This window comes from Homo sapiens, chromosome 12 (genome assembly GCF_000001405.40).
Source record: "Homo sapiens chromosome 12, GRCh38.p14 Primary Assembly".
NCBI classification, from domain to species: domain Eukaryota; kingdom Metazoa; phylum Chordata; class Mammalia; order Primates; family Hominidae; genus Homo; species Homo sapiens.
In genome coordinates this window covers 49765406-49776622 of record NC_000012.12, presented here as the reverse complement: position 1 = coordinate 49776622, position 11217 = coordinate 49765406, and the positions used below count along the sequence as shown (strand labels likewise).

Sequence of the window (11217 nt, the reverse complement as noted above, 5' to 3'; positions counted from 1 at the left end):
AGACCAGCCTGTGCAACATGGTGAAACACGTAGCCATCAGATGGTGCAACCGAGGCAGCGCCCATCCGAGACGTTTGTAGGCCTGAACTGCCACCCTGTGGTGGGAAGAGGAAATATGCAGAGTGCCTTCCTTTCACCCTTTGTGACCAATGCACCAAATCCTGACCACAGTCTCCCCAACCCATTGCAGGCCTTGGACAAAGTGCAGAGAATAAAAATATATGCGCTTGACGGACAGAAACTCCTCCCTGGCCTTATCTGTTTCTCCTGGAAGTAACCCTGCCAGTCCTTCCCCCAGCCTGGCATGGGAGGCGGGGGACACTTATCCTACAGTCAGCCCAAAGGTAGAAAGCGTTGGCAAGGGAGCAGGATGGATGGTGAGCCTTGTCTGCTTTTCATACCCTGGCCTTCCTAAAGTCAGGACGCACTTCGGGTGACCTCCCTCCCCATGCCGTGCCTCCACTTTCAGGCCTTCATTTTCTCATCCAACCACGTTGTTAATTTGCAGACCTTCACACCTAGTAGGTGTGAAACGCTGAGCCAGACAGCAGGAATTCAGAGGTGAATGGGGCTCCCAGTTCCAGTGGGTGATGCCAACAGCCCCCAGGTGACTCCAGCCGTGCTGTGATGGAGGGAGGCCCCAGAAGAGGCTCCTCTAACAGTCTTGAGGGCTCAGAGGAGACTTCCTAGAGGAGGCGATATCAAAACTAAGACCTGTGGCCGGGCGAGGTGGCTCACACCTGTAATCCCAGCACTTTGGAAGGCCAAGGCGGGTGGATCACTTGAAGTCAGCAGTTCGAGACCAGCCTGGCCAACATGGTGAAACTCCGTCTCTACTAAAAATACAAAAATTAGGCGTGGTGGCAGGCGCCTGTAATACCAGCTACTCGGGAGGCTGAGGCAGAAGAATCACTTGAACCCGGGAGGCAGAGGTTGCAAGTGAGCCTAGATTTCACTACTGCACTCTAGCCTGGGCGATAGAATGAGACTGTCTAAAAAAACAACAACAAAAAAACCCCCACAGAACAACCTAAGACCTGCAGGGTAGGTACGACTGACCCAGGCAGAGAGGGTGGAGTGAGAGCTCTAGGCAGAAAAAGAAAAATGCCAATCAATGTGTAACAGTGAGGGATCTAGTGGAATATTCTAGCATAAAAATGAGTCTCATCGCTGGGGCACTGAAATATGGGAGGACAGAGGTAAGTCAGAGCCTGGGAAGTATGAGTTTGGACTTTATCTAAAGAGCAAAGATGAGCCATTGAAAAGTTCAGTGTAGAAAGGCCCTTCTAGAAGTAGTGCAGTGGGTTGGGGAGACTGTGGTCAGAATTTAGTGCACTGGTCACAAAGGGTGAAAGGATGGCACTCTGCATATTTCCTCTTCTCGCCACAGAGTGGTAGTTCAGGCCTGCAAACCTTTCAGATGGACTGCAGAGATCCAAGACTAGTGAGGAGGCTGGGACAATAATCCAGGTGAGATTCAGTGAGGCCTAAACCTAGGCAGTGGCAGAGGGGATGGAGAACCGTGGAATCAAAGTTTCCACACACTCCTTAAGTGGTGAGGTGCCTGGGTTTCCTGATGGAGCCTTTGAGATCCATCTAAGTTGTTGTATGTGTCTGTGGTTCATTCTTTGTATTGCAGAGTAGTATTCCATTGTATGGATGTACCACAGTTTGTTTGTTCATTCATTCACATATTGAAGAATATTTGGGTTTGTCCCAGTTGTAGGCTATTAAAAATAAAGCCTCTCTGAACATCTGTGTACAGGTTTCTTTTTATCTTTTTGAGACTGAGTCTTACTCTGTCGCCCAGGCTGGAGTAAAGTGGAGCAATCTCGGCTCACTGCAACCTCCACCTCCTGGGTTCAAGTGATTCTCCTGCCTCAGCCTCCCAAGTAGCTGGGATTACAGGTGCAGGCCACCACACCCGGCTAATTTTTGTATTTTTAGTAGAGATGGCGTTTCACCTTGTTGGCCAGGCTGGTCTTAAACTCCTGACCTCAAGTGATTCACCCACCTCGGCCTCCCAAAGTGCTGGGATTACAGGCATGCTGTGCCTGGCCTCATGTAGAGGTTTCTGTGTGAACACAAATTTTTATTTCTCTAGGGTAAATACCCAGCAGTACAATTGCTGGGTTGTATGGTTAATGTATGTTTAATTTTATAAGAAACTGCGAAATTGTTTTCCAGAGAGTCTGTACCATGTTACCTCACCACCAACGACGTTCAATAGATCCAGTGTACCATGTTACCTCACCACCAGCGACGTTCAATAGATCCAGTTGCTCCACATTCACACGAGCACTCAGTATTATCACTTCAAAAAAATTTTAGCCATTCTAGTAGGTGTGTAGTAGTATTTAATTGTTGCTTTAATTTGCATTCCCTTAATGTCTAATAATGTTGAACAACTTTTTTTTCTTTTTTTTTTTTTGAGACAGGGTCTTGCTCCGTGGTCCAGGTGGGGGTGCAGTAGTGCAATCACAGCTCCCTGCAGCTCAGCCTCCTGGGCTCAAGTGATCCTCCCAACTTCCCAACTCAGCCTCCTGAGTAGCTGGGACTACAGGTGCATGCCACCAAACCCAACTAATTTTTAAATTTTGAACATATTTTCATGTGCAATTTGCCATTTGTGTATCTTCTTTGGTGAAGTAGTGAAGTTCAAGGAGCTGACATTTTTATGGTTTAAAAATGTGCCAAGTTGGCTGGGCGTGGTGGCTCACGCCTGTAATCCCAGCACTTTGGGAGGCCGAGGCGGGTGGATCACGAGGTCAGGAGATCAAGACCATCCTGGCTAACACGACGAAACCCCATCTGTACTAAAAATGCAAAAAATTAGCCAGGTGCAGTGGTGGGCGCCTGTAGTCCCAGCTACTCAGAAGGCTGAGGCAGGAGAATGGTGTGAACCCGGGAGGCAGAGCTTGCAGTGAGCCGAGATCGTGCCACTTAACTCCAGCCTGGGCGACAGAGCGAGACTCTGTCTCAAAAAAAAAAAAAAGAAAAAAAAAATGTGCCAAGTCAGGCTGGGCTCGGTGGGTCATGCCTATAATTTCAGCACTTTGGGAGGTCAAGGTGGGTGGATCATCTGAGGTCAGGAGTTTGAGACCAGCCTGGCCAACATGGTGAAACCCCGTCTCTACTAAAAAAAAAAAAAAAAAAAAAAAAAAATTAGCCGGGCGTGGTGGCGGGTACCTGTAATCTCAACTACTCAGGAGGCTGAGGCAGGAGAATTGCTTGAACCCAGGAGGCGGCGGTTGCAGTGAGACTCTGTCTCAAAAAAAAAAAGAAAAGAAAAGAAAAGAAAAAAGTGCCAAGTCATCCATACGTCTATTCCTAACTTCTTCCCTTAGCTTTAGATTCATATCCCAATGTCCCCTGGCATCTGCAAGGGTGTCCCACACCACTGCAATCTCAGCATGTCAGAGCCAAAACTACCATCCCACCCACAGACCTGGGCCTCCCTAGTGGAAGAACTAACATTTAGAAGTTTTATTATGGGCTGAACACACTTCTAAGTTGTTTACATACAGTAAGACAGGGATCTTGTCATTGTGTGAATATGGTAAAATATACTTACACAGACCTAGATGGCGTAGCCTACTATTCACCTAAGCTCTATGGTATCGCCTGTTGTTCCTAGGCTACAAACCTGTACAGCATCTTACTGTACTGAATACTATAGGCAATTATAGTAACACCATGATGAGCATTTGTGAATTTAAACATAGAAAAGGTACAGTAAAAATATAGTATGATAATCTTTTTTTTTTTTTTTTTAGATGGAGTCTTGCCCTGTTGCCCAGGCTGGAGTGCTGTGGCGTGATCTTGGCTCACCTCACTGCAACCTCCGCCTCGCGGGTTCTAGCAATTCTCCTGTCTCAGCCTCCCAGGTAGCTGGGATTACAGGCATGCACCACCATGCCCAGCTAATTTTTGTATTATTAGTAGAGACGGGGTTTCACTATGTTGGTCAGGCTGGTCTTGAACTCCTGAGCTCGTGATCTGCCTGCCTCGGCCTCCCAAAGTGCTGGGATTACAGGTGTGAGTATAGGACCACCATCATATAAGCAGCGTGTCATTGGCCAAAACATCATATGGCACATGACTGTATTTTATTAATTTAATTCTCACAATAGTTCTATACAGGAAGTACTATTATTACTTCCATTTTACACATGGGAAAATGAGACACAGAAAGGCTGAGTAACTCTCCCAAGCTTGCACAGTTGGCAGGTAGCTGGTAGGACCATCCTGACCCCCTGAGAATCATCCTTGATCTCCTGTCTTTCTCACCTCCCCATGTCTCATTAATCACTAAGGCCTGGAGATTTTACCTCCAGAATATTTTAGTCCATTGTCTCCTGTCCTTATGACTACTGCTCTACTTCACATCATCTTTTCTCTTGCCTGGACCATTATGCCTTTTTTGTTTCTTTAGTTTTCCATGATAGAACATTTCAAACACAAAAGGAGAGAGAATCGTACAATCAATGTCCATTGCCTAGCCACAACCGATATAAACTCATAACCATTCATATTATCTATACCCTCTACTTTCTTCACTCCCTGCCACCATTCAACTATTTTTTTTCTTTTTCAAAAATTCTTTTAGCATTTTGTACACTGACAAAGTGGTAAAAGAAAATGACTGAAACTTAAATGTAAAAGAACACTTCATAATTAATTGTATACATTTATCTTAAATGTCAGTGAAAAATAAACTATTATAAAAAACAGGACAAAGTATATCACAAAGAAGCAAGAATTAGAAAAAAATAATAAAAAGATATCCAACTATGAAAAGTATGGCCCTCTTGGTGCCTTCACACCCTTCTGTTCTGTGTACTGATGTACTTTTCTTGGATAAATGTAGCCCATACTCATTCTTTTTTTTTTTTTTTTTTTTTTGAGACAGTCTTACTCTATCACCCAGGATGGAGTGCAGTGTGTGATCTCAGCTCACTGCAGCCTCCACCTCCCGGGTTCAAACAATTCTCCTGCCTCAGTCTCCTGAGTAGCTGGGACTACAGGTGTGCACCACTGCGCCTGGCCAATTTTTGTACTTTTTTTTTTGAGATGGAGTCTCACTCTGCCGCCCAGACTGGGGGTGCAGTGGCACGATCTTGGCTCACTGCAAGCTCCACCTCCTGGGTTCACGCCATTCTCCTGCCTCAGCCTCCCTAGTAGCTGGGACTACAGGCGCCTGCCATCACGCCTGGCTAATTTTTTTTGTATTTTTTAGTAGAGACGGGGTTTCACCATGTTAGCCAGGATGGTCTTGATCTCCTGACCTCATGATCTGCCCGCCTCTGCCTCCCAAAGTGCTGGGATTACAGGCGTGAGCCACCGCTCCTGGCCTTTTTTTTTTTTTTTTTTTTTTTTCAGTACAGAAGGGGTTTCACCATGTTGGCCAGGCTGGTCTCAAATTCCTGCCCAACTCAGCCTCCCAAAGTGCTGGGATTACAGGCATGAGCCACTGTACCCAGCTTCCCATACTTATTCTTTGGTTGTATATATTCTTCTGTCTACCCCAAGGCTATATTCATGTAGCCATCCAGGCAAGCCAGGACCCCTCAATAATCCACTCTATAATTTAATTTTACCACAATTGGTCATCCGATGATTTGCTATAAGAAGTCACTAGGGATTTGCTTCTGAAGACTCATTTTAACAATCCTAAATCTCACGGGTGGGATCCAGAACCCTCACTCCAGGCACTCCACAAGCCCAACTGAGTATTTTGATGCAAATCTCAGACATCATAGTAATTAATCCATACTTATTTCAGTATGCATCTTTAATTTTTATTTATTTATTTATTTTTGAGATGGAGTCTCGCTCTGTCACCCAGTCTGGAGTGCAGTGGTGAGATCTCGGCTCACTGCAACCTCCACTCCCAGGTTCAAGCGATTCTCTTGCCTCAGCCTCCCGAGTAGCTGGGACTATAGGCGCCCACCACCACACCTGGCTCATTTTTGTATTTTTAGTATAGACCGGGTTTCACCATGTTGTCCAGGCTGGTCTTGAACTCCTGACCTCAGGTGATCCGCCCACCTCGGCCTCCCAAAGTGCTGGGATTACAGGCGTGAGCCACCGCGCCTGGCCAGTATGCATCTTTAAAAGATAACTTTTGAAGAATGCAATCATAACATTATTAGCGTTATGCATTAATAATATTTCTTTATCATGTAGTCAGTGTTTGAGCTGTTATCTATTGCTGTGTAACACAGTGGTTTAAAACAGCAATAAATGTATTATTGCTCACAGTTTCTGTGGGCCAGGCATTCAGAAACAGATTGGTAGATTGGTGAGGCAGTTCTGGCTCAGTGTCTCATGAGACTGTAGTCACCTGAAAGTTTGAAACTGGAGGATCTGCTTTCATGGTGGCTCCTTCCCACTGGCTGGCAAGTCGGTGCTGGCTGTGGGCAGGGGGCTCCAGTCTTCACTTCAAGGCTTTCCACACAGGGCGGCTTGAATGGCCTCAGAACCTGTACTTAGTTTCACTCAGAGCAAGTGATCCAAGGAGACAAGGAGGAAGCTGCAATTCCTCTGAAGACCTGGCCTCAGAAGCCACACACGCTTCTGCAGTGATATTTTGGTCATGCGTGCCAGCCTGCCTCAATGTGGAGAACTCTACCAGGGCACACCAAGGTGAGGATCCTTGGGGGCCATCTTGGAGAATGTGAATCGGGGTTCAAATTGCTCCAATTCTCTCCCTTTTTCTTTTCCTTTTACACTTGGTTTTTTTGTTTATTTTTGTTTTTGTTTGAGACGAAGTCTCACTTTGTCGCCCAGGCTGGAGTGCAGTGGTGCAATCTCAGCTCACTACAACCTCCGCCTCCCAGGTTCAAGCGATTCTCCTGCCTCCGCCTCCTGAGTAGCTGGGATTACAGGTGCCCACCACCATACCCAGCTAATTTTTGTATTTTTAGTAGAGACAGAGTTTCACCATGTTGGTCAGGCTGATCTTGAACTCCTGACCTCAAGTGATCCACCAGCCTCGGTCACCCAAAGTGCCTGGATTACAGGCGTGAGCCACTGCGCCCGGCTATACTTGATTTATTTGAATCAGGATTCAAACAAGATCACATCATTGATTGCATTTTGTTGATATGGCTTATAAGTCTCTTAATGTCTAGGTTTCCTTCCCTCTCTTTTTGGATTTGTTCTTTGCCATATTTTTTGAAAAAAGAAACCAATAGTTTGAACTTAAAGTTTTCTTTTTATTATTAATTGACAGATAAAACCATATATGTGTCCAACATCTTTTGAAGTGTATACACATTGTGGCATGATTAAATCTAGTGAACTGACGTATGTATTATTACCTCACACAGAACTTAATATGATTCAGATTCAATTTTTTCTCCCCAGGCTGGAGTGCAGCGATGCGTTTATGGCTCCCTGCAGCCTCAACCTCCCAGGCTCAACTGATCCTCCCACCTCAGCCTCCCAAGTAGCTGAGACCACAGGTGTATTTTTATATTTTTTTGTAGAGATGGGGTCTTGCCATGCTGCCCAGGCTGGTCTCGAACTCCTGGACTCAAGCAATTCACCCACTTCAGCCTCCCGAAGTGCTGGAATTACAGGTGTAAGCTACCGTGCCCAGCCCAGATTCAATTTTTTTGTTGTTGTTAAGAAAACTTCATTGGTAGGCTGGGCGCAGTGGCTCACTCCTGTAATCCCAGCACGTTGGGAGGCTGAGGTGGGCTGATCACTCGAGGTCAGGAGTTCGAGACCAGCCTGGCCAATGTGGTGAAACCCCATCTCTATTAAAAATAAAAAAATTAGCTGGGCGTGGTGGCAGGTGCCTGTAATCCCAGCTACTTGGTAGGCTGAGGCAGGAGAATCACTTGAACCTGGAAGGCAGAGGTTGCAGTGAGCCAAGATCATGCCACTGCACTCCAGCCTGGGCAACAGAATGAGACATCTCAAAAAAACAAAAACAAAAACAAAAAAAATACACACTTCATTGGTAGTATTTACTTCTATCAGAAGGTATGTGATGTCAGGTTGTCTGTCTTAATATGATGTTAGTGGCCATTCTTTTTTTTTTTTTTGAGACAAAGTCTCACTCTGTCGCCTAGACTGGAGTGGAGTGGCATGATCTCAGCTCACTGCAACCTCCACGTCCCAGGTTCAAGCAGTTATCTTGCCTCAGCCTCCTGAGTAGCTGGGATTACAGGTGTGCACCACCAAGCCCAGCTAATTTTTGTAATTTTAGTAGAGAGGGGGTTTCACCAGGTTGGTAAGGCTGGTTTTGAACTCCTGACCTCGTGATCCGCCCACCTCTGCCTCCCAAAATGCTGGGATTACAGGCTTGAGCCACTGCGCCCGGCATTAGTGGCCATTCTTATATTATCATTATCTACTTTCATTATCAAAAGTGTTTTTGTTTTTTTTTTTTTTTGAGACGGAGTTTCGCTCTTGTTGCCCGGGCTGGAGTGCAATGGTGCGATCTTGGCTCACCACAATCTTTGCCTCCTGGGTTCAAGCGATTCTCCTGCTTCAGCCTCCTGAGTAGCTGGGATTACAGGCATGCACCACCTCGCCCAGCTAATTTTGTATTTTTAGGTTTCTCCATGTTGGTCAGGCTGGTCTCAAACTCCCAACCTCAGGTGATTCACCCGCCTGGGGTCTCCCATAGTGCTGGGATTACAGGTGTGAGCCACTGCGCCCAGCTTCATCAGAGGTTTGATGCAACAGTGCCTCATACCAGGTCTTCAGTAACTGTTGACTTACCCCCTCCATTTCCTACTAGTTTCCTCCAACTTTCCTAGTTAGCAAAACCTGTTTTTGCAGCTCCTTCCTTGCACTCCCCATGCTGGAGCGTACTCCTGTCTTTCCTCGTGCTGATCCCTTGATCAGAAACATCCACTCCCACTGCCTTTCTTAATCTCTTCACTTGCCTCACTTTGACTCAAACTTTGAGATTTAGACTTAGCTGAGGTGTCATCTACAAAGCACTTTCTCTGACCGACCAGACCAGGCTGTGTCTCCTGCTGTTGTCTCATGGCCCACTATGCTTAACTCCTATTCACATGTAATGTTCACATGTGGCTCTCCAGCACTACTCAGTGGTGAAGGACTCCAAGGCAGGAACTGTCTTCTACATCTTTATCCCCAGCTTAAACAAGACAGATCCCCTCATCTGCTCACCATGCTTAGAAAGAACATATTGTTTCTTGGCTGGGCGTGGTGGCTCATGCCTGTAAGTAATCCAGCACTTTGAGAGGCCGAAGTGGGCAGATCACTTAAGGGCAGATCACTTGAGGTCAGGAGTTCGAGACCAGCCTGAGCAACATGGGGAAACCCCCTTTCTACTAAAAATATGAAAAATTAGCTGGGCATGGTGGCATGCACCTGTAATCTCAGCTACTGGAGAGGCTGAGGCAGGAGAATTGCTTGAACCCAGGAGGTGGAGGTTGCTGTTAGCCAAGATCACGCCATTGCACTCCAGCCTGGGCCAGAGTGAGACTCCATCTCCAAAAAAAAAAAAAAAATACTGTTTCTTCTTTCAACCCAGAGGACCTTCCACTTCTGCCGCCCACTAGGGTCTTCCTTGGTCTAGTTTTGGCCTGCAGGTCTCCTACACATGGAAAGAGCTGCTGTTTGTTATCCTCTTCCATTTAATTGGTAATTGGTGGGCTGGCTGGGGGAAGAAAGACTAAAAAGGCCGCTCACTCTTCTACGTTTCTTTGGTTACAAAGATTTGGGGTGGGGAGATTTTGCTCAAACCCCTTCACAATTTCCCTTTCCACCCTTGGCCAGAGCCATAGCCAGGATGTAGGTCAGGATGGAAAGGATGACTCCAGCCCAGGAGGACTAACCTTAACACTGCTTACATAGGTTAACAGTAAAGGATAGGGGCTCTGGAGATAGTGTGCCTAGATTCTTTCTGGGCACACATCTGCCAGCCCTGGAAGTAACTGACCGTACGTAGTAAATACACCATCTTCTTAAACTACTGGGGATGTTAAGCAATCCATGTAAGGCACTTTGTACAGTGCCTGACCTTGTAAACACTCAAAAGGTGTTGCACCTTGTACTTCTCCCCTAGCAGATAAAATGGGGGCTTTAAAGAGTCTTTAGGACCAGTCTTTTCTCAAAGTCAGCAAGAGAGAAAAGATGCTTAAGGAATATTTCCCAAGCTTAAGGAAAATGGCTATCCTTAGTTGGCACGGGCACATGTGGAGTCCGAACAGGTCAACTGGGAGTAACCTAGATGAACCAGTCAGAATAATGGTCAAATTCTAACAGGAAGGCCTGGGTCTACAATGAATATGACAAGCGGAGAACAAGCATGGTAAAATTGAGCTACTAGGCTCGGCATGGTGGCTTAAGCCTATAATCCCAGCACTTTGGGAGGCTAAGGTGGATCGTTTGAGGAACACGAGTTCAACATAACCTGAGCAACATGGTGAGATCCCACCTCTACAAAAATTAAATCAGCGGGGTGCAGTGGCATGTTCCTGTGGTCCCAGCTACTCGGGAGGCTGAGGTGGATCACTTGAGCTCAGGTGACTGAGGTTGCTGTGAGCCATGATCGCATCACTGCACTACAGCCTGGGTGACAGGGCAAGACCATGACCCTGTCTCCAAAAATCAAAACAAAAACACAAACACAGAATTGAGCAACCTGATTGTAATGCAAGTTCCGATTGATAATCTCATATCTGAACTATGACAAGGACTTTTATTATTTTTTTGAGATGGGAGTCTCTGTCGCCTAGGCTGTAGTGCAGTGGTGCGCTCTCGGCTCACTGCAACCTCTGCCTCCCGGGTACAAGCGATTCTCCTGCCTCAGCCTCCCGAGTAGTTGGCACTGCAGGCGCCCACCACCATGCCGGGCTATTTTTTGTTATTTTTAGTTGAGACGGGGTTTCACCTTATTAGCCAGGCTGGTCTCAAAACTCCTGACCTCAGGTGATCCGCCTGCCTCGACCTCCCAAAGTGCTGGGATTACATGCGTGAGCCACCACGCCTGGCCGACTTTTTTTCTCTGTCACCCGGGCTGGAATGCAGTGGTGCATCTCAGCTCACTGCAACCTTCACCTCTCAGGTTCAAGTAATTCTCCTGCCTCAGCCTCCCAAGTAGCTGGGATTACAAGTGCCTGCCACTTTGCCTAATTTTTTTTTTTTTTTTTTTTTTTTGGTGTATTTAGTAGAGATGGGGTTTCACCATGTTGGCCAGACTGGTCTTGAACTCCTGACCTCGAG

General features: G+C 46.5%; 1 pseudogene, besides 3 other annotated features; it reads right to left on the bottom strand.

The window, feature by feature from the left end:
- Positions 1–50: an enhancer, noted in NCBI's record as "active region_6334". NCBI's record gives its function as "activates an Ori minimal core promoter by ATAC-STARR-seq in GM12878 lymphoblastoid cells {active_cell/tissue: GM12878}" and the evidence as "EXISTENCE:reporter gene assay evidence [ECO:0000049][PMID:35858748]".
- Positions 151–380: an enhancer, noted in NCBI's record as "active region_6333". NCBI's record gives its function as "activates an Ori minimal core promoter by ATAC-STARR-seq in GM12878 lymphoblastoid cells {active_cell/tissue: GM12878}" and the evidence as "EXISTENCE:reporter gene assay evidence [ECO:0000049][PMID:35858748]".
- LSM6P2 (LSM6 homolog, U6 small nuclear RNA and mRNA degradation associated pseudogene 2) lies at positions 5487–5726 on the bottom strand (annotated as a pseudogene).
- Positions 10051–10251: a silencer, noted in NCBI's record as "peak1728 fragment used in MPRA reporter construct". NCBI's record gives its function as "represses an SCP1 promoter by STARR-seq MPRAs in K562 erythroleukemia cells {active_cell/tissue: K562}" and the evidence as "EXISTENCE:reporter gene assay evidence [ECO:0000049][PMID:32103011]".